The sequence below is a fragment of the Homo sapiens genome, chromosome X (genome assembly GCF_000001405.40).
Source record: "Homo sapiens chromosome X, GRCh38.p14 Primary Assembly".
Classification (NCBI taxonomy): domain Eukaryota; kingdom Metazoa; phylum Chordata; class Mammalia; order Primates; family Hominidae; genus Homo; species Homo sapiens.
This window is the reverse complement of record NC_000023.11, coordinates 110,078,257-110,102,996: the sequence shown is the minus strand read 5'-3', so window position 1 is coordinate 110,102,996 and position 24,740 is coordinate 110,078,257. Positions and strand designations below refer to the sequence as shown.

Genomic DNA, 24,740 nt, shown 5'->3' with positions numbered 1-24,740 from the left:
CACAAACATTAGTCAATCCATTACTGTGTGCCTAACATTGTTGCAGGTATTGTAGGGAAAAGAAGATAAGTATAAGTAGGACACAGTATCTGCCCTCAAAAAGCTAACAATTTTTATGAGAAGGCAAGAAGTGAAATAACTAGAGGAAATGTAGTAAAATGGTTAAGGGGGTTTGGAATCAAGTCTACATTCCATCCCATCCCTACCATTTACTGGCCAAGTGACTACAGACAAATCACTTAAAATATGTGTCAATTGCCTCACAATTGTTAATTGAACTAATAAGAGTACCTACTGAAAGGGTTAGAGAATTTAATAAAATAAGACCATGTAAAGTGATCAATGTAGTGCCTAGAATATAATAAGCACTCAATATACAGTGGCTGTATTATCCTTAACAGATCAATGTAAATGAATATCACATTATTCATAACAAATGAAGCTATTATGATCCTTCACGAGATGAATTCTATTTTAATTTAGTACTTGATAACAACCAAGAACAAAAAGATATGGAACAGATGACAAATTCTCTGGATGGCTGGAAAGGCAAATTCATAGATAGGAATTCTCAAAGGAAATTATAAAATATTTTGAACTGAACAACAACAACAAAAATATGCTAGTAACAGGAAAAAAATTTTTTTAACACAGTCTCACTCTGTCACCCAGGCTGGAGGACGGGAGTGCAGTGGCCGGATGTGGGCTCACTACAACGTCCGCCTCCCAGGTTCAAGTGATTCTCCTGCCTCAGCCTCCCAAGTAGGAGATTATAGGTGCCTGCCACTATGCCCAGTTTTTGGTGTGTTGGTTTTTTTTTTTTTTGTATTTTTTGTAGAGACGGGGTTTCACCATGTTGGCCAGGCTGGTCTTGATCTCCTGGCCTCAAGCAATCCACCCACCTCGGCCTCCCAAAGTGCTAGGATTACAGGCATGAGCCACTGCACCCAGCTGGAAATTCTTATATTAGGCAAAAAGAATGGTCTCAAATTAGCAATCTAAGCTTCCACCTTAAGAATAAAAAAAATAAGAGCAAAATAAACCCAAGGCAAGCAGAAAAAATGAAATAATAAAGAGCAGAGATCAATGAAATGGAAAAGAAAAACAATAGAGAGGCAGGGCTCAGTGCCTCGCGCCTGTAATCCCAGCACTTTGGGAGGCCAAGGCGGGGAGATCACCTGAGCCCAGGAGTTCAAGACCAGCCCGGGCAACATGGTGAAACCTTGTCTCTACAAAAAAAATTTAAAAAATTAGCTGGATGTAGTGGTGCAAACATGTAGTCCCAGCTACTTGGAAGGCTGAGGTGGGAGAATCACTTGAGCCCAGGAGGTCGAGGCTGCAGTGAGCCATGAGCATGCCACTGCACTTCAGCTTGGGCGACAGAGTGAGACACTGTCTCAAAAAAAAAAAAAAAAATCAATAAAACCAAAAGTTTGTCTTTGAAAAAAGTCAATACAATTTATAAACTTCTAGGTAGAATGACATGGATAAAAAGAGAGAAGGAAAAAAGTTAACAATATCAGCAATGAAAGAAGATATTAGAACCCTAGCAATTAAAATTATAAAAGAATACTCCAACCAACTCTATGCACATAAATTTGACCACTTAGATGAAATGGACATATTCTTCAAAAACCACAAACTCCAAAACTCACCCAAGATGAAAAAGACAACCTGAATAATACTATTAAATAAATTGAATTCATAGTTAAAATCATCTGAATAAGAAATCTCCAGACTCAGTTTCAGTGACCAATTCTACCAAATATTTATACAATCTTGTTCAGAAAATAAAAGAGAAGGAAACATTTCTCATGTTGAGTTGAAGAGGGGAAAGAATGAACACATCAATCAATTAAACAGAATGGTCCATCACTACATTACCCAGATACCAAAACTAGAGGAGTTGGGTAGTGGGGAGGAAGGAGAGGAAGAGAAGAAGAAAATAGAGGAAAAAGAAGAAGATGAGGGAAGAAGAAGGAAGCAGGAAGAAAAGGAAGGAAGGAAGGAAGGACAGACAGACCAATATTCCTCATGAACAACAGACACAAAAATCCTCAGTAAAATATTAGCAAATCTAAAGTAGCAGTATAGAAAGAATAATACTTGGCCAGGCACGGTGGCTCACACCTGTAATCCCAACACTTTGGGAGGCTGAGGTGGGCGGATCACGAGGTCAGGAGATCGAGACCATCCTGGCTAACAAGGTGAAACCCCGTCTCTACTAAAAAAATAAAAATAAAAAAAAAATACAAAAATTAGCCAGGCGAGGTGGTGGGCGCCTGTAGTCCCAGCTACTCCGGAGGCTGAGGCAGGGGAATGGTGTGAACCCAGGAGGCAGAGCTTGCAGTGAGCCGAGATTGTGCCACTGCACTCCAGCCTGGGCAACAGAGCGAGACTCCATCTCAAAAACAAGAAAGAATAATACTCTATGACCAAGTGCGTTTTCTCCTGGTAACACAAGGTTAGTTCAATATTTGAAATTCAATTAATATAATTCACCAAATCAGTGCTGAAAAGACTAAAAAAGACTAAAAAGTACGTGATCATATCAACTGATACAGAAAGGGTATTTTGTCAAAATTCAGTATCTATTCATGATAAAAATTATCATCAAACTAGGAATAGTAGGGAACTTCCTCAACCTGATGTAGGGAACTTCCTCAGCCTGATAAAGGGCACCTAAAATTACTATGCCTAATCTAATACTTAATGGTGAAAGACTAAATGCTCCCCCCGACAACATTAGAAACAGGACAAGGATGTCCACTCTCACCACTACTATTAGACTGGCAACTTTAGCGAGGAAATCAGGCAACAAAAATAATAGAGATCGAAAAGGAAGAAGTAAAACTGTCCTTATTTGCAATGGACGTGATTATATGTATGGAAAATCCCAAGGAATCTACAAAAAAGCTCCTAAAAAATACATTAGTTTTTAAAGGTCACAGGATGCGAAGTCAACACACAAAAATCAATCACTTCTACACAGTAGCAGTGTACAATTGAAAAGCAACATTTTTGAAAGAACCACTTAAAATGTTTCAAAAAACTGAAATGCTTAAGTATAAATCTAACAAAATATTTAAAGGATCCATATGCTGAGAATGGCAAAATGCTGATAAAATAAAAGACCTAAATAAATGGAAAGACATACCTTGTCCAAGGACTGAAAGGCTCAACATAGGAAAGATGTCATTTCTCACCAAAACGATCTATAGAGTCAAAGCAATTCTGATCAAAATCCCAACAGGATATTTTATAGATAGACTGACTCTAAAGTGTATATGGAAGGTCAAAGAAACAGGAATAGCTAAAATAATTCTGTAAAAGAAGCAGATAATGAAGGAGTCACATTGCCTGATTTTAAGGCTTACTACAAAGTTAAAGCAACCGAAACAATGCAGTATTGCCCAAGAATAGACACATCAATCAATGAAACATAATAGTCCAGAATTTGACCCACACAAATATAATCATTTGATTTTTGAAAATAGTGTAAATGCGGTTGAAGCAATTGGACATTCATATGTAAAATAACAAACTTAACCTAAACCTCACAACTTATATAAAAGCTAAGTCATAAATCTAAATAGAAAATATAAAACTATAAGTCTTAGAAGGAAATATATGAAAAAATCTGTGATCTTCAGTTAAGCAAACAGTTCTTAGACATGACACCAAAAACACAATACATAAAAGAAAAAAAAAATGATAAACTGACATTAATCAAAATGAAAAACTTTTGATCTGTGAAAGACACTTTAAGACAATGAAAAGATAAGCTATATAACATATAACATGGGATAAAATATTTGCAAATCACATATCCAACAAAGAACTTTTATCCAGAATATATAAAGAATCCTGAAATTCAACAATAAGAAAACACACAACTCAGCCAGGAGCGGTGGCTCACGCCTGTAATCCCAGCACTTTGGGAGGCCAAGGTGGGCAGATCACAAGGTCAGGAGATCGAGACCATCCTGGCTAACATGATGAAACCCCGTCTCTACTAAAAATACAAAAAAAAAAAAAAAAAAAAATTAGCCGGGTGTGGTGGCGGGTGCCTTGTAGTCCCAGCTACGTGAAAGGCTGAGACAGCAGAATGGCGTGAACCCAGGAGGCGGAGCCTGCAGTGAGCCAAGATCACGCCTGGGTGGCAGAGTGAGACTCCCTCTCAAAAAAAAAAAAAGAAGAAAAAAAAAGGGCTGAAAAAACTGTGAACAGACACTTCACCAAAAGAAGTTGTTATTGAATATGTTGTTGTTTTCACGGCAAATAAGCAGATAAAAATGTTCCCTACCATTAGAGAAATGCAAACTAAAACGATAATAAGATGCCACTTCTCATCTGAATTGCTATAATAACAACAACAACAAAAAAGACAATAGCAATGTGCAGAAACCGGAATTTTCATACACTGTTGGTAGGAATGTAAATGTAAAAGCACTGATTTGGAAAACTATTTGATGGTATCTTATAAAGGTTTTTTTTAATAAAAAAAGAAAAAGAAAAAACTTTCATAAGTTAAAAACACTAGTACTCACCCTACAACTCAATAATTCTGCTCCTGGCTCCCTACTAAGATGAAAACTTATGTTTACATGGAACCCTCTACACCAATGTTTACAGCAACTCTATTCATAATAGACAAAATCTGGAAGCAGTCCAGGTACCCTTCAATGGCTGAATGGATAAACAAACTGTGGTACCTACAGACCATGGAAAACCACTCAGAAATAAAAAGGAATAAACAATTGATACATGTATCAACTCAGATGAATCTCAAAGGCATTATGCTAAGTAAACAAACCCACTCTCTAAAGGTTACACACTGTAAGGTTCCATTTGTATGACATTCTCCAAAGGACAAAACTACAGTGATTGCAGAGCTGGTCAGTGGTTGCCAGGGTTTAGAAATCTGGGTGTCACACTAAAGGAAGAGTATGAGAAGTTTTTAGAAGTGATGGAGCAGTTCTAAACCCTGTCTGTGGTAGTAATTATAATAATCTATACATGTCTTAAGATTCATAGAACTTTATTCCCAAAAAAGCCAATTTGGCTGTATGATAATTGAACAAAATTCAAAAATGTATATGAGAAGCAAAACACTGAACTCTCCCAGTCTCAGCTTTCACACTCACAAAATAAGTGATCCAGGATTCTGAGCATTTTAAACAACGTTTTTCTGCCCTAGTTTTTTCTTTACACTTAAAGTTTTAAACATACAGTAAAATATTTTAAAAATTAGCACCTCTGCACCTACCATACAGCTTTAATAAATTTGAATATTATTGATTCAGTTGTCCTCTATGTACCCTTCCTGAATACGATTCATCTCACCCAACCATCTACAAGGGGAACCTCTACTCTAAAGTAGTTGACTTCCTTGTTGCCCACGTTTTTATACATTTATTATGTTTGTATGTATCTACAAATCACATATAGTGTTGTTTCATGTTTATACCCTTAAATAAATGGTACATTGTATAGAGAAAGATTATTAGGCAAATTACATTTTTCACTTAACTTCTAATTATCCATGTTTATACATGTAGCTCTACTTCATCTGTTTTTCACTGCTGAATATTATTCACTTTTATGAATATACCACAAGGTAGTTACCCATTGTCATGTTGATGGACATCTGGATCTACTTCTTTCCTTCAGCCAGACACTAAGATTTACTTTCTGTGATTTGTATTATAAAAACAAAAGATCTGGCTGGGCATAGTGGCTCATGCCTGTAATCTCAGCACTTTGGGAGGCCAAGGCAGGCAGATCATTTGAGGTCAGGAGTTCGAGACCAGCCTGGCCAACATGATGAAATCCCATCTCTACTAAAAATACAAAAATTAGCTGGTCATGGTGGCATGCGTCTGTAATCCCAGCTACTCAGGAGGCGGAGGCTGAAGTGAGCCAAGATCATGCCACTGCTCTCCAGCCTGGGCACAAAGTGAGACTCCATCTGAAAAAATAAAATCTATTTCTACCATCCCGGAGTCCAGAGTCCTTCTGCACTGACTTTCTGTTTCTATAAACCCCTGGATCTAAGAGTGTATACATTTTTTTCCCACTTTGTGAGGTGCTGTAGCGCAATCCTGTCTGTCTTGTGGCAGGGAGTGCAGTTAGGACCTTGCGTTTCAGAATTCACATATAAGAAAGTAGGACACTTGCCCGTCCAAGATGGCTGAATAGGAACAGCTCCCATCTACAGCTCCCAGCATGAGTAACGCAGAAGACCACTGATTTCTGCATTTCCAACTGAGGTACCAGGTTCATCTCACTGGGGATTGTTGGACAGTGGGTGCAGCCCATGAAGCATGAGCCGAAGCAGGGCAGGGCATCACCTCACCCGGGAAGAACAAGGGGTCGGGGAATTCCCTTTCCTAGCCAAGGGAAGCCGTGACAGACAGTACATGGAAAATTGGGACACTCCCACCCTAATACTGCGCTTTTCCAATGGTCTTAGCAAACGGCGCACCAGGAGATTATATCTCGCACCTGGCCTCGGAGGGTCCCATGCCCACAGAGCCTTGCTCACTGCTAGCAAAGCAGTCTGAGATAGAACTGCAAGGCGGCAGCAAGGCTGGGGAAGGGGCATCTGCCATTGCTAAGGCTTGAGTAGGTAAATAAAGCAGGCAGGAAGCTCGAACTGGGTGGAGCCCACTGCAGCTGAAGGAGGCCTGCCTGCCTCTGTAGACTCCACCTCTGGGGACAGGGCATAGCTGAACAAAAGGCAGCAGAAACTTCTGCAGACTTAAACGTCCCTGTCTGACAGCTTTAAAGAGAGTAGTGGTTCTCCCAGCATGGAGTTTGAGATCTGAGAACGGACAGACTGCCTCCTCAAGTGGGTCCCTGACCCCCGAGTAGCCTAACTGGGTGGCACCTCTCAGTAGGGGCCAACTGACACCTCATTCGGCCGGGTGCCCCTCTGAGAGGAAGCTTCCAGAGGAAGGATCAGGCAGGAACATCTGCTGTTCTGCAATATTTGCTGTTCTGCAGCCTCCGCTGGTGATACCCAGGCAAACGGGTTCTGGAGTGGACGTCCAGCAAACTCCAACAGACCTGCAGCTGAGGGTCCTGACTGTTAGAAGGAAAACTGACAAACAGAAAGGACATCAACACCAAAACCCCATCTGTACGTCATCATCATCAAAGACCAAAGGTAGATAAAACCACAAAGATGGGGAGAAACCAGAGCAGAAAAGCTGAAAATTCCAAACATCAGAGCGCCTCTTCTCCTCCAAAGGAACATAGCTCCTCGCTAGCAATGGAACAAAGCTGGATGGAGAATGACTTTGATAAGTTTAGAGCAGAAGGCTTCAGACGATCGGTAATAACAAACTTCTCCAAGCTAAAGAGGATGTTCGAACCCATCGCAAAGAAGCTAAAAACCTTGAAAAAAGATTAGACGAATGGCTAACTAGAATAAACAGTGTAGAGAAGACCTTAAATAACCTGATGGAGCTGAAAACCATGACATGAGAACTAGGTGACACATGCACAAGCTTCAGTAGCTGATTCAATCAAGTGGAAGAAAGGGTATCAGTGATTAAAGACCAAATGAATGAAATGCAATGAGAAGAGAAGTTTAGAGAAAAAAGAATAAAAAGAAACGAACAAAGCCTCCAAGAAATATGGGACTATGTGAAAAGACCAAATCTACGTCTGATTGGTGTACCTGAAAGTGATGGGGAGAATGGAGCCAAGTTGGAAAACACTCTGCAGCATATTATCCAGGAGAACTTCCCCAACCTAGCAAGGCAGGCCAACATTCAAATTCAGGAAATACAGAGAACACCGCAAAGATACTCCTCAAGAAGAGCAAATCCAAGACACATAATTGTCAGATTCACCAAAGTTGAAATGAAGGAAAAAATGTTAAGGGCAGCCAGAGAGAAAGGTCGGGTTACCCACAAAGGGAAGCCAATCAGACTAACAGCAGATCTTGCGGCAGAAACTCTACAAGCCAGAAGAGAATGGGGGCCAATATTCAACATTCTTAAAGAAAAGAATTTTCAACCCAGAATTTCATATCCAGCCAAACTAAGCTTCATAAGTGAAGGAGAAATAAAATCCTTTACAGACAAGCAAATGCTGAGAGATTTTGTCACCACCAGGCCTGCCTTACAAGAGCTCCTGAAAGAAACACTAAACATGGAAAGAAACAACCGGTACCAGCCACTGCAAAAACATACCAAATTGTAAAGACCTTTGATGCTAGGAAGAAACTGCATCAACTAATAAGCAAAATAACCAGCTAACATCATAATGACAGGATCAAATTCACACATAACCATATTGACCTTAAATGTAAATGGGCCAAATGCTCCAATTAAAAGACACAGACTGGCAAATTGGATAAAGAGTCAAGACCCATCAGTGTGCTGTATTCAGGAGACCCATCTCATGTGCAGAGACAGACACAGGATCAAAATAAAGGGATGGAGGAAGATCTACCAAGCAAATAGAAAACAAAAGCAGGGGTTGCAATCCTACTCTCTGATAAAACAGACTTTAAACCAACAAAGATCAAGAGACAAAGAAGGCCATTAAGTAATGGAAAAGGGATCAATTCAACAAGAAGAGCTAACCATTCTAAATATATATGCACCCACTACAGGAGCACCCAGATTCATAAAGCAAGTCCTTAGAGACCTACAAAGAGACTTAGACTCCCACACAATAATAATAGGAGACTTTAACTCCCCACTGTCAACATTAGACAGATCAATGAGACAGAAAGTTAAGGATATCCAGGAATTAAACTCAGCTCTGCACCAAGTGGACTTAATAGACATCTACAGAACTCTCCACCCCAAATCAACAGAATATACATTCTTCTGAACACCACATCACACTTATTCCAAAATTGACCACATAGTTGGAAGTAAAGCACTCCTCAGCAAATGTAAAAGAACAGAAATTATAACAAACTGTCTCTCAGACCACAGTGCAATCAAACTAGAACTCAGGATTAAGAAACTCACTCAAAACCACTCAACTACATGGAAACTGAACAACCTGCTCCTGAATGACTACTGGGTACATAACGAAATGAAGGCAGAAATAAAGATGTTCTTTGAAACCAATGAGAACAAAGACATAACATACCAGAATCTCTGGGACACATTTAAAGCTGAGTATAGAGGAAAATTTATAGCACTAAATGCCCACAAGAGAAAGCAGGAAAGATCTAAAATTGACACCTAAAATCACAGTTAAAAGAACTAGAGAAGCAAGAGCAAACACATTCAAAAGCTAGCGGAAGGCAAGAAATAACTAAGATCAGAGGAGAACTGAAGGAGATACAGACACAAAACACCCTTCAAAAAAATCAATGAATCCAGGAGCTGGTTTTCTGAAAAGATCAACAAAATTGATAGACCACTATCAAGCCTAATAAAGAAGAAAAGAGAGAAGAATCAAATATACACAATAAAAAATGATAAAGGGGATATCACCACAGATTCCACAGAAATACAAACTATCAGAGAATACTATAAAGACCTCTACACAAATAAACTAGAAAATCTAGAAGAAATGGATAAATTCCTGGACACATACACCCTCCCAAGAGTAAACCAGGAAGAAGTTGAATCCCTGAATATAACAATAACAGGCTCTGAAATTGAGGCAATAATTAATAGCCTATCAAACAAAAAAAGTCCAGGGCCAGATGAATTCACAGCCGAATTCTACCAGAGGTACAAAGAGGGGCTATTCCAATCAATAGAAAAAGAGGGAATCCTTCCTAACTTATTTTATGAGGCCAGCATCATCCTGATACCAAAGCCTGGCAGAGACACAACAAAAAAAGAGAATTTTAGACCAATATCCCTGATGAACATCGATGCAAAAATCCTCAATAAAATACTGGCAAACCGAATCCAGCAACACATCAAAAAGCTTATCCATCACGATCAAGTTGGCTTCATCCCTGGGATGCAAGGCTGCTTCAACACATGCAAATCAATAAACATAACCCGTCATATAAACAGAATCAAAGACAAAAACCACACGATTATCTCAATAGATGCAGAAAAGGCCTTCGACAAAATTCAACAGCCCTTCATGCTAAAAATTCTCAATAAACTAGGTATTGATGGGACATATCTCAAAATAATAAGAGCTATTTATGAGAAATCCACAGCCAATATCATACTGAATGAGCATAAACTGGAAGCATTCCCTTTGAAAACTGGCACAAGACAGGGATGCCCTCTCTCACCACTACTATTCAACAGAGTGTTGGAAGCTCTGGCCAGGGCAATCAGGCAAGAGAAAGAAATAAAGGGTATTCAATTAGGAAAAGAGGAAGTCAAATTGTCTCTGTTTGCAGATGACATGATTGTATATTTAGAAAACCCCATCATCTCAGCCCCAAATCTCTTTAAGCTGACAAGCAACTTCAGCAAAGTCTCAGGATACAAAATCAATGTGCAAAAATCACAAGCATTCTTATACACCAATAACAGACAAACAGAGAGCCAAATCATGAGTGAACTCCCATTCACAATTGCTTCAAAGAGAATAAAATACCTACGAATCCACCTTACAAGGGATGTGAAGGACCTCTTCAAGGAGAACTACAAACCACTGCTCAATGAAATAAAAGAGGATACAAACAAATGGAAGAACATTCCATGCTCATGGATAGGAAGTATCGATATTGTGAAAATGGCCATACTGCCCAAGGTAATTTATAGATTCAATGCCATCCCCATCAAGCTACCAATGACTTTCTTCACAGAATTGGAAAAAACTACTTTAAAGTTCATATGGAACCAAAAAAGAGCCTGCATTGCCAAGACAATCCTAAGCCAAAAGAACAAAGCTGGAGGCATCATGCTATCTGACTTCAAACTATACTACAAGGCTGCAGTAACCAAAACAGCATGGTACTGGTACCAAAACAGAGATATGGACCAATGGAACAGAACAGAGCCCTCAGAAATAGCACCACACATCTACAACCATCTGATCTCTGACAAACCTGACAAAAACAAGAAATGGGGAAAGGATTACCTATTTAATAAATGGTGCTGGGAAAACTGGCTAACCATATGTAGAAAGCTGAAATTGGATCCCTTCCTTACACCTTATGCAAAAATTAATTCAAGATGGATTAAAGACTTAAATGTTAGACCTGAAACCATAAAAACCCTAGAAGAAAACCTAGGCAATAGCATTCAGGACATAGGCATGGGCAAAGACTTCATGACTGAAACACCAAAAGCAATGGCAACAAAAGACAAAATTGACAAATGGGATCTAATTAAACTAAAGAGTTTCTGCACAGCAAAAGAAACCAACATCAGAATGAACAGGCAACCTACACAATGGGAGAAAATTTTTACAATCTACCCATCTGACAAAGGGCTAATATGCAGAATCTACAAAGAACTTAAACAAATTTACAAGAAAAAATCAAACAGCCCCATCAAAAAGTGGGCAAAGGATATGAACAGACACTTCCCAAAAGAAGACATTTATGTAGCCAAAAGACACATGAAAAAATGCTCATCATCCCTGGCCATCAGAGAAATGCAAATCAAAACCACAGTGAGATACCATCTCACACCAGTTAGAATGGCGATCATTAAAAAGTCAGGAAACAACAGGTGCTGGAGAGGATGTGGAGAAATAGGAACACTTTTACACTGTTGTTGGGACTGTAAACTAGTTCAACCATTGCGGAAGACTGTGTGGCGATTCCTCAAGGATATAGAACTAGAAATACCATTTGAGCCAGTCATCCCATTACTGGGTGTATACCCAAAGGATTATAAATCATGCTGCTATAAAGACACATGCACATGTATGTTTATTGTGGCACTATTCACAATAGCAAAGACTTGGAACCAACCCAAATGTCCATCAATGATAGACTGGATTAAGAAAATGTGGCACATATACACCATGGAATACTATGCAGCCATAAAAAAGGATGAGTTCATGTCCTTTGTAGGGACATGGATGAAGCTGGAAACCATCATTCTCCACAAACTATCGCAAGGACAGAAAACCAAATACTGCATGTTCTCATTCATAGGTGGGAATTGAACAATGAGAACACTTGGACACAGGAAGGGGAACATCACACGCCGGGCCTGTCATGGGGTGGGGGGCTGGGGGAGGGATAGCATTAGGAGATATACCTAATGTAAATGACAAGTTAATGGGTGCAGCACACCAACATGGCACATGTATACATATGTAACAAACCTGCATGTTGTGCACATGTACCCTAGAACTTAAAGTATAATAAAAAATAAAAATAAAGAAAGTAGGACAACTGCTGAGACTAAGCAGAAGCTATACAAGTATTCTATGTACTGCGCTATTCACTTTTCCGTATGTTTAAAAATTTCCAGGCCAGGTGCAGTGGCTCACGCCTGTAATCCCAGCATTTTGAGAGGCTGAGACAGGCGGATCACAAAGTCAGGAGATCAAGACCATCCTGGTTAATATGGTGAAACCCCACCTCTACTAAAAAAATAAATAAATACAAAAAATTAGCCGAGTGTGGTGGCATGTGCCTGAAGTCCCAGCTACTCAGGAGGCCGAGGTAGGAGAATCGCTGGAACCCAGGAGGTAGAGGTTGCAGTGAGCCGAGATTGTGCCACTACACTCTAGCCTGGGCAACAGAGCAAGACTCTGCTCAAAAAAAAAAAAATTCAGACTAAAAGAACATAAAAAACAAGCAAGTAAAGAAAAAAAAAAAGATAAGTAGAACAGGGGGGCTTGGCTGGCTTTGCCTGCGGACACAAAGATAATTCCCTGGTTGCAGCTGGTGGTTTCCCACTTCCTTGTTCTGAACCAAATGGGGCCGCACAACCACAGAGACTGCAGAATTTTTTTTTTCCCTGTGAAATTCAGGAAGTTGGCAAATGCCCCTATCTGGAAGGTACTCAACTGGTAAAAGAGGCTACCTATCTAAAGGCAATTTTCATTCTGAAATTTTACTTATCTAAATGAAAGCAATTTTCTTTCCTTGAGACCCAAATTCTAACAGTGAGTACACAGATGACAAAGTGTCAAGACAAGGATAATGCTATACGCTACTACTAACAATTATTGAGTTCCTGGTATATGTTAGATTTCATGCTAAGAAATTTACATGGGTCATGTCATCTAACCATTTTTACTCAGGAGGGTCATTACTATTAATAGCATTCTTTTACAAATGAGGAAATGGAAGCTAAGACTTTAATCTATGCTCAGGATCACAGAGCTAAGAATTAAGCAGAACCGCAACTATAACTCTAATTCCACTGTACTATTCAAGATCCCTTCAAAACATGTCTACCCGATAAATCAAATGCTGAATTGAACAGAACAGTGTTTAAATACATTATATTATGTTCATCCAAACAATGGAATACTATGTAGCCATCAGAAATCATGTTAAGAATACTTAATTAGATGGGTAAACAATCCCGTTATATTTTAAATATTACAAAGTATCATATGTAGAATGATCTTTATTTTGTTTCTAAAAATGGTGGCTCACGCCTGTAATCCCAGCACTTTGGGAGGCTGAGGTGGGTGGATCATGAGGTCAGGAGTTCAAGACCAGCCTGACCAATATGGTGAAACCCTGTCTCTACTAAAAATACAAAAATTAGCCGGGTGTGGTGGCAGTGCCTGTAATCTCAGCTACTCGGGAAGCTGAGGCAGGAGAATCGCTTGAACCTGGGTGGCAGAGGTTGCAGTGAGCCGAAATCTATACCTACAGAAAACTAAGAAGAAATTATACCAACATATTAACAGGAATTATCAGTTATTATTATTGTATTCTTTATTGCTTTCTATAATATTTTATTTCTTTTCCTTACAATTAGCATGGATTACTTTTATAATGAGAAAGAAACAGTTCTGCTTCTTCATTACCAACTGCACAGCTCCTATCTAACTTGCCCAAATCTTATTATGCCGTACTGCTTTCCCCCAACCCCTGCCCTTTGGAATTGCTTTTGACAAATATATAGCACAGTAGATTCTTCACTTGGATAAAGTAAAAAGAGGCCCAAAATAATCAGTCCTCATTCCTCTGCTGAGTACTGCTTTCCATGTTTCCACAGATGGGAAAAGTTATCTGAATCTTTAGCCTTTCTTTTACCCAATGGTGACATACATCTAAATACATGCTTAAAGCCTAGGAGAAGGAAAAAAAATAAAAGCAGTCCCTGCTCTAGGAACTTTCAAAGAGAACTTCTGGGAGACTTGGAGAAGATAAAACTGAGTATATGTAAAGGTAGGCAGCTTCTATTTTATGTCGAATGGGAACCTGTGAACAACCCCAAAGCATCTTCCCTCTTCTAAGAATTAAGGGAAGAATACACATAAACCGAAGGCAGAACCTGACAATAAGGTGGCTCCTAGGAAAGCAGATACCTGAGCAGCATTCTGAATAAAAAAGAGAAACTGGTCTCCCTGAATCGCTCTTTACTTACTGTGGTTTCCTCTTTCCCCTTTAAATCTGCAACATTTATAAGCAGAGCCTTCTCTCCTTTGCCAATAACTGAGTCTTAATAAGGCTGCTCAGGTCAAAAACAACCTCTCAACTATCTTTTTCAGTGATGAGTCCAACGCTAAGCCAAAAAGCAGCCACCTCCGAGGTGAAGGTGCCAAAAGACTGTCCCTTTTTAACTGCATATGACCCCAAACTAAGTCTCAGTTTAGAATCCCTCAGGTTCCAGAGCAGCTGACCAGATGAGCACTGGGAAAGGGGGTACTGAGATGCTAAAATCATTCCAAGACATTTAAACTCAACAGGTTCAAACTGAGTCTATCTCATGACCTCAGAGCAGTCCTAGAGACCTGAGGTCTGAATTTCTCCCTGGGGAAAGTCATGCTATTTAAAAATCTGAGAGTATCATAAATGAAATCTAGAAAAAGAAAGGGCCATGGGGATACTGCACTGTCATCATATCATGTGGCCCAAAGGCCAACAGGATATCAGTTTTGCAATGCCAAGATCACGTGTCAGGCTGCCCCAGTTCCTCATGCCCACCCCCATGCTTCCCTCGTCTACCTTGGCTCACATGCAGCCTACAGTCCTCTCTCCATCCAGCAATGCACCTCCTGCTCTCTGCAGCATAGATGAAATTTCATCTCATCCCCTTCAAAAGCTTCTTTAGACTGAGTCAGCAGATATGACCAAATAATCCTATTTGCATCACAGATCCACTCCTTTCCTGGCACACATGAAGATGAACAACTTTAGGGTTTCAGTGGGGAGCAGAGGGGTACTGTACACTTTCTGGAGCAGAGGGATGTGTGTCAGCGCTCTGCTATGCCCTTTTCTTACCCAAGGCGGGGTGAGGGAAGAGTTTCCTGCCATTTAAACCATACCACTCAGTGACTCACTCCATGAGTTCCCCCACCCTTGATACATACACATGGATAACCAAGCACATTAAGTGCTGGGTGTTCAGAATACAGCTAAACTGTCTGATTACAACCCAAAGCCTGGAAAACCTTAATCTCTGTTCCCTTTTCCTTCATGTATTCCTTCAAGATATCCCAACTCAGAGGTCGAGGCTACAGTGAGCCATGATCACGCCACTGCACTCCAGCCTGGGCAACAGAGTGAGACAGTTTCAAAAACAACAACAACAAACAAGAGAGCCCAACTCAGAGAAAGTCTCAAAAGGCTAGTTTCTCTAAGAGGCTCCCAGCCCATTGTGAAATTCTTAAGCCCAGGTCTCTAGCTGATAAGGAAGAATCTTAGGCTGGAGGCTGTATAAACAGTTGACTCAGACTGATGACTGCTCTTTTATTGAGTAAGTGTGCTGTGGTTAATAACTAAAATGCTAGGATCTTCTAGTCCTGGGAAGAGCTCAGATCAACTACCAGAAGCATCACTAGTCACCATTTGTACTACAAGCAAAAAGAAATGACTGGTTAGCTTTTGTTTCTGATATGAACACTTCTGACAGCTGCAGAGGTTTCTCAAGCCTCTAGAGAAGTAGAAAAGCCCTACTCTGATCCTTATGTCAAAGAATGTGAATGTGAACTCTTGTGTATCTCCATCTGTAAAGATCATAAGATGACATCACTAGGATGAATTGTAGCTTTCCAAGATCTCACCATCCCCATTATGGTATTCCTCTTAAATACTCAAATGTCTCCCACTGCCTTCTAGCTTATTAACAGAGTCACTGTCCTACTGTACATATGTAATTTCTTCCTCTCTCTCTCTGCCTATGCTAGATCTAATTCCTCTAAACTCAGAGTCAGCAAAATATGGTTTTTCTGTTTTGGCTTCTTTATTGGCATGATTTTATATATATACACACACACACACATATATACACACACACATATATATATACATATATATACACATATATACATATATACACATATATACATATATACACATATATACATATATATATAAAATTTTTTCCAACTTAACTGCTTTTAAGTGTACAGTTCAGTGCCATTAAGTACATTCACACTGTTGTGTAACCATGACTGCCAGCTATCTCCAGAACTTTTTCATCTGGTCCTCCTGTTTATGTAAATAAAGTTTTATTTGAACACAACCACACTAATTTGTTTGCATTTTTCTGTGATGCTTTCATGCTCCAACAACAGTTAAATAGTTAAAACACAGAGATCATATGGCTTGCAAAGTCTAAAATATTTACTCTCTGGCCCTTTACAGGAAATGGTTGCCAATCTCTGCTCTAATCTAAAATATACACTGGATTTCTACTTTAAAATAGCACTTGGCTAGCAATCACTAACATAGCCTCTCTCAATTTCCCACTCAAATACCTATCAAGATATAGAAAAAGATAAAATTCCCCAAACACTGAAAACTTAAACTGATGGCCAACTTATTACCAGGATCTGGGAGAAATCTCCATTAACAATAAGCCTAATACTGAAATGAGAAAAAACAATCTGGCCAATTCATGCAGCAGCCCACAGAAACCTAAAAGAAGATAGGAAACATTGAGTCCTTCCACAACTGTCAGCCTCATGGCTTAGAAGCCAAGAGTTCATCTAGAAACTGGCAAACCGGACATCCATTTGGACTACGTGGTTACTACTTGCAGAGGAAATCAGCAATTCTCAAAACTGGTCTACATTCACATGGAGACTCTAATTCCCCAAAATCAAAAGGGCAGAAATGGCAGAATTGGTACTGGCACACTGTGTGCTAGGAGTGGGAGCCCTCACAAGTAACACTCAGGTAGTAACACATGTGGGAGGCTGTACTGTTTCACATAGTTTATCTGGTTCAGAGCATCTGAGAACATTGTAGTAGGGGTAGACGATTCCATATGGGTCCAGCAGAACCCACTAGATGAGTAGCTGACAGACACTGTGAAACAGGTTAAAAGCTATGTGTATCAACCTGCCTGCCAACAATGGAGCTGAAAAGGGTTCTAACCAATATGAGAGAGAATCTGAGCTTGAGGATAGTCAAAGGCAATCTACATACCCTGTATTTGATGAAAGACAGATCCTTTTTTGAATATTCATAAACCATACAAAAAACCTGACCAGGCATGGTGGCTCATGCCTTTATTCCTAACACTGGGAAGCCAAGGTGGGAGTATCACTTGAGGCCAGGAGTTCAAGACTGGGCAACACCGCAAAACCCTGTTTTAATATATATATATATATATTTTTTTTAATTAGCCAAGCATGGTGGTGTTTTCCTGTAGTCCCAGCTATTTTGGAGTCAGAGGTGAGAGGAACACTTGAGCCCAGGAGTTTGAGGATTCCATGAGCTATGAACATGCCACTGCACTCCAGCCTGGGCAACAGAGCAAGACCCTGTTGCTTTACCAAAAAAAAAAAAAAAGTTCATATGAAAACCTCTGGCAGCACAAGGAAAATGCATATCACTCTGACAACTCAGAGGAAACAAAAACGTCTTAATTTTGTGTATAAACCAGAAGAAATATTTTAGAAAACTGTTTACATCCTCAATAGAATGAAAGAAAACATGGACTCTATGAAACAGGTATAGAAAGCCACTAGAATAAAACATTGAGAAGGAAAGACAACCTAGGGTAAGTAGCTCAACAGAGCTAGAAAGAAATACAGAGAAATTAACATTGTAACAAAAATAAATAAATTTCACATTGGAGACAGCAGAGAGCAAAATCAATCAAATTAATAGTATGGAAGCCAAATCTGAGGCTCTCCCAAGCATGCAAAGGAAAAGGAAAATTTATCTTAGAAAGCTAACAAAGATTGATATTAGGAAATCTATAATATAATATACCAAATGGGGAGATCAAAGTAGAAAACACAAATGAACCTCTTAATAGATTCCTAGAAAACATCAGCTAAACTCAACAACTATTCTTTATTTTTGGAGACAGATCTGACTTTGTCAACCAGGCTGAGTGCAGTGGCACAATCTCGGCTCACTGCAACCTCCACCTCCTGGGTTCAAGCGATTCTCCTCCCACAGCCTCTCGAGTAGCTGGGATTACAGGCATGCACCACCATGTCTCTCTCTCTCTCTCTCTCTCTATATATATATATACTATACTATATATATATATACTATATATATATACTATACTATATATATATACACTATATATATATACTATACTATATATATATACACTATATATATACTATACTATATATATATAGTATTTTTAGTAGAGATGGGATTTCACCATGTTGGCCAAGCTGGTCTCAAACTCCTGATGTCAAGTGATCCTTCTGCCTCAGCCTCCTGAAGTGCTGGGATTACAGGCGTGAGCCACCACACCTGGCCAACTATTCTTGATTTTTGTGAGGACTTGATAATTTAAGAATAAGGTAATTCCCTAATATTATAAAAAACATCTAACTTAAACCAACAGACAACATCAGAGCCAACTAATATGAACCATTAGAAACATTTCTATTAAGTGAATCACTAGAAACATTTCCATTAAAATCAGAAGCAAGACAAGGACTCCTGCTAGTACTGCTATTATTTAACATTATCCCAAAAGATCTAGCCAATACAATCAGGTTTGAAAGCAAAACAGCAGTTTTGTTCTTTAAAAGGAAATAAAGTTATCATATGGGAGCTGGTGTGATTAATTTCAAAAATAATCCAAGAGAAGCAACTGAAAAACTATTAGAAATAAGAATTAAGCATAGACACACAAAATCAAAAATTTTCCTACCTACCAGTAATAACTAGTTTGAAAATATAATAAATATCATAAACTATCAACTATCCAGGGATGATCTTGATGAGAAATATATGAGATACACACACATGCATGTGAGCAACTAAGGAACATAAAAGAAAATTAATAAATTAACATATCATGTCTTTTCCTGGATGACAGACTCTGTGTTGTGATGATGTCAATGAAATTTTAGGTTTAAAGTAGTTCCAATCAAAATCCTGGTAGGATTTTGAGGAGAACCTGACAGAAACATTCTAAGTTCATTTGGACGAAAAAATGGTTGAGACTAGCTAAGAAAAAAGTGTGGGTAATGCGCTAGGCTGCAGAGAAAGCAAAAGAAATCTGGTTTACCAGCTGTTGCATATATAAGGGTATGAAACTGATGGAAAACCCAAGAGAGAGATCAATGAATAATACAAGCTGAAAAAATCCTAGCATATAGAAGAATTTATGTATGATAAAAGTATAATAGCAATAATCATAGGAAAATAGTTATTTGATGAATGGTGCTCAAATAAATGACTCTCTAGGGGAAAATATAAGCTATACTCTACTTCATACTAGTCACAAAATGAATTTTTGATGGACTGACAAGTTAAATATTTTTAAAACTATTTTAAAACTGGATTGTTTTAAATCCCATTCTAACCTTAGAATGGGAAATGTCTTTTCAAGTGTAAAAGCAATGGAAGAAATTACCATGATCTGAAGGGGGTTTAGAAATCAATCAATTTGACCAATAAAAATGTAAACCAAATCTATTATCAAAAGCATCATTAAAAAGTTAGAAGACAATCTGGGGAAAACATTTACTGCAAAAGTGATAAAAGATTAACACTCTTTATATATGTAAAACTCATACAAATCAACAAGGGAAACACCTGTACATCAAAATTCAGCAGAGACCATGAGCTGACAATCTACAGAATAAAATATGTAAATAGCTAATAGATATAAGTAACCACCATATTATGTATATGTTCCAAATTACCCATAATGATATTTGAAAGAAAAAAAAACTGACACAAAAGGCAAGGGAAAAAGAAAAGAGAAGCCACCAGTGAGATGTGAGATGTGTTGGGGGAACTGGGGGGTGAGGGGGAGGTCTGGTTACACTGCAACACAGTCCTTTATCCTATCCCTGAGGTTTTCAAAAGGAAATCTTATTTGTTAATAACTGGTGAGGCAGGCTAGTTCATATTTTGGGACTGGGTCGGTTCCCTAAGATGAATGAGACATGTAACGTTTTTCCAAGTTAGTAGCAGGATAGTAAGTGCAAAACCATCCCTAAGGATATGTTGGTTTTATTCAAACCGAAGTGAGGAAAAGAATTCTGTGGCTTGGATGTCAACGGCACTGGTAGATAGCTCTTCAGGAAAGTACCATTCACATCAGCCAAATGAGTCAAAAGAAAATGGCTCAGATTCAAAGAGATACAGAACAGCACTGCATGTACAGACACAATACAACAAACAACTCTGACGCTGCTATGTAAGCATTCACAGAGAAGAGGAGCCAAGAACAGGAAGGATAAGAGGCCTTCAGAGGCAGAAGACTGCCAGGCTGGAATTCTAGGAGTTGGAGATACTAGAGATCAAAAGAAAACGATGCCCAAGGTTGCTGTGGTAGTGGGCCAGGTAGAATTTTGGCCCTTCTAATTTTGGCTCCACACCCTGGATGCATGCTTTCCACTGAGGCAGCCCTTCCAGCAGCAGGCTATAGCAGCAGGACTGAGCAAGTCACATGTCAACTGAGGTACATATAAATGAAGCATTCCAGGACCCAGACATAACACTGTGGTACTATCATTCCCTCTTGTCAAGTGTACCATGGGAACCATGTGGAGAATCCTGTCCCTTCTCCACCCCAGTGGGAGTTGCCAGCCTTTGCCAAGCACAGGACATGCAGCCTGCTGCACACGTCATACCCCTTTCCTATAGTGGCTGGGCATGCCTCCAGGAAGAACATGCTGGCCCCTGGTTAGCTGGGAAGCTGGTAAACTCATGTGTGGCTGGCACAGCAAAGGGCCCATAGAGAAAGCAAGAGAGATAGGTATATGATGCTAGTCAACAAACCCAAAGAACACACGGGCATAAAGATCACAACAGAGCTCATCCATGTATACTGAGACATAGGGAATTTTAAATAAGATGCTTTCATACTTTTAACAATTTAAACAACAATGGGATAGTAGAAAATATTCACTTCAGCAACACAAGGTCATGATTAGCAGCATGGGCTCTGGAGTGAGAGAAACTTTGGATCAAATCCTGCATGTACCACATGCAAGCCACATCCAGTCATGTAAACTTTCTGAGCCCCAGTTCTCTTGACCAAACTACTATTAATAGTACCAGTACTACTATTAGTACTTCCCACACAGTTTTGTTAGAAGGATTAAATAAAATAATCAATGTTAAGTGTTTCCCACCATGCCTAGGCACACAGTAAACCTGATTATGTTATGATCACTGGCAAGAGAAGAAAGAATAGGAATCCTGACTCTGCCACGAAGTAATCTTAGCCAAGTTATATAATATTTCTTGGTCCCCTACTGCTCTATTTATAGTATGGATAATGTATTCGCTATCCCCCAATACTATTTTAAAGATTAGATGAGAAAATTTAAAGCAAAGAACTTTTAAACAGTAAAGAACAATACTAATGTAAAGTTAAAGTATTTTAAGGGCTCTCTACTTTTTAAAATACTGATTTTTAACTCAACATGGTATTTCCACACAATGGAATAATATGCACCCATTAAAGATGGTGTGTATCAGCCACCGTGTTGGCTCATTCCTGTAATCTCAGCACTTTAGGAGGCCGAGGCAGGAGCATCACTTGAGGCCAGAAGTTTCAGACCAGTGTGAACAACATAATGAGACTCCGTCTCTACAAAAAAAAAAAAAAAAAAAAAAAAAAAATTATTAGCTAGGCATAGTGGTGCACACCTGTGGTCCCAGCTACTTGAGAGGCTGATGTGGAAGGATCACTTAAGTCAAGCAGGCCAAGGCTGCAGTGAGCCGTGAATGCACCACTGCACTCCAGCCTGGGCAACAGAGCAAAACGTGGTCTCGAAAACAGAAAAAAATGTTGTGTATTATAAAAAGTTGGATAACTCTCCAGGGAATTATGCTAGGTGATTTTTAAAAAGTCAGCCTCAAAGGTAATATAAGGTATAACTATATTTACACAAGATTCCTAAAATAGCAAAATTATAGATATGAAGAATAGATTCATGGTTGCCAGGGATCAGGGATGGGGTTTAGATATGTAGATGGTGGGTATGGCTATAAAAGAATGACAGAAGAGATCTGCATGGTGACAGGACTGTTCTGCTTTATCAGACCGTATCAATGAAAATATCCTGGCAGTGATACTGTACTATAGTTTTGCCAGAGGTTACCAGTGGAGGAAATTAGGTAAAAGGTACATGGGATTTCTTTGTGTTTTTTCCTATATTATTTTTTCTACATTATTATACTTAATAGACAACAGGTCTTCAATAAGTTAATGGGAAATACATATTATTACAAAAAACTATGCATGGATTTCAAATTTTCAGCACCAAAATAAACTCGTGCTAACTTATTCTAACATGTCTGAACAGGATCTAGTTTGAGGCACTAAGAAGGATAAGACACCAGTTTGAAAAGAGCCCCTACCAGAACAACAATAATTCTGCTAAAATTGAAGCAAGAACAAACATCAAATTTATAGTGAAGCTTGGGTGGAAGGATGGTGAAATCATTTATGCTTTATAAAAAGTTTACAGAGACAATGCCCAGAAGAAATCAGCAGTTTACAGGATAACTCATTTTTTTTAATTATTATTATACTTTAAGTTTTAGGGTACATGTACACAATGTGTAGGTTAGTTACATATGTATGCATGTGCCATGCTGGTGTGCTGCAACCATTAACTCGTCATTTAGCATTAGGTATATCTCCTAATGCTATCCCTCCCCCCTCCCCCTACCCCACAGCAGTCCCCAGAGTGTCATCATTTTAAGAAAGGGTGAGATGTTGATGATGAAGCCTGCAGTGGCAGACTACCTACATCAATTCGTATCTTGTTCATTTCTTAATTGAAGAAGACCAATGATTAATAGCAGAAACGATAGCCAACACCACAGACATCTCAATTGGCTCAGCTTACACAATTCTGACTGAAAAATTAAAGATGAGCAAACTTTCCCCATGATGGGTTTCAAAATTGCACCCAGATCAGCTGAAGATGAGGACAGAGCTTTCAATGGAAATTTTAAACAGGTGGGATAAAGATCCTGAAGCATGTCTTCAAAGAATTATAACAGGAGATGGAACACGATCCTGAAGACAAAGTACAATCATAGCAATGTCTACCAAGCAATGAAAGTGGTCCGGTCAAAGCAAAAGTGGACTGGTCAAGAGCAAAGGTCATGGCAGCAGGTTTTGGGGATGCTCAACACATTTTGCTTGTTGATTTTTTCGAGAGTCAAAGGACAATAACACCTACTTATTATGACAGTGTTTTGATAAAGTCAGCCAAAGCTTTAGTGAAAAACTGCCCAGGAAAGCTTCACCGGGGAATACTTCTTGACCAGGAAAATGCTCCTGCTCATTCCTCTCATCAAACAAGGGCAATTCTCTGAGAGTTTCGACGGGAAATCATTAGGCAATCATCTCAAAGTCCTGACATGGCTCTTTCTGACTTCTTTTTGTTTCTTAAACTTAAAAAAATATATATCTTAAAGGCCCTCATTTATCTTTAGTTAATAATGTAAAAAAGAATACATTGACAGTTACATTCCCAGTACCCTCAGTTCTTCAGGGATGAATTAAATTGCATTCTTTAGGGATGAATTAAATTGACGTTCACGGAGCTTCTGTTGAGAAATGAAGTTTATAATTTTTATCTTTATCTTTAATTCCATTTTCTGTGAACTTTTTGAAATCTCCTCATATTATATACTTATCTCAAAGTATAAAGTTTAATTTAATTTTATTTTTTGAGACAAAGTTTCACTATTGTTGCCTAGGTTGGAGTGCAATGGCACAATCTCGGCTCACTGCAACCTCCGCCTCCTGGGTTCAAGCAATTCTCCTGCCTCAGCCTCCTGAGTAGCTGGAATTACAGGTGCCCATCACCATGCCCAGCTAATTTTTTGTATTTTTAGTAGAGATGGGGTTTCACCATGTTGGCCAGGCTGGTCTGGAACTCCTGACCTCAGGTGATCCACCTGCCTCGGCCTCCCAAAGTGCTGGGATTAAGGTGTGAGCCACTGCGCCCAACCTAAAGTTTAATTTTAAAATGTGATGATCCGAGGGATCACACTAGCTCCACAGCAATGGATCCTAACCAGATTGAAATGTCTGAAAGGACATACACAGAATTCAGAATCTGGATGGCAAGAAGCTCAATGAGACTCCAGAGAAAGTTGAAACTCAATCGAAGAAAGCCAGTAAAATGATCCAAGAGTTAAAAGACAACATAGACATTTTAAGAAAGAGCCAAACAGAACTGGTGGAATTGAAAAACTTCACTACACAAGTTTTCAAATACAACTGGAAGCA

At 39.1% G+C, this 24,740-nt stretch overlaps 1 protein-coding gene and 1 non-coding gene across 21 annotated transcripts in view; both read right to left on the bottom strand.

Annotated features, from left to right (window-relative positions):
• Positions 1 to 24,740, bottom strand: part of TMEM164 (transmembrane protein 164) — a 181,883-nt gene that overhangs the window by 81,255 nt on the left and 75,888 nt on the right. The window lies entirely within an intron of this gene.
• MIR3978 (microRNA 3978) lies at positions 20,779 to 20,879 on the bottom strand. The gene has a single exon (NR_039774.1). It is a non-coding gene; the product is annotated as a microRNA 3978 (primary transcript).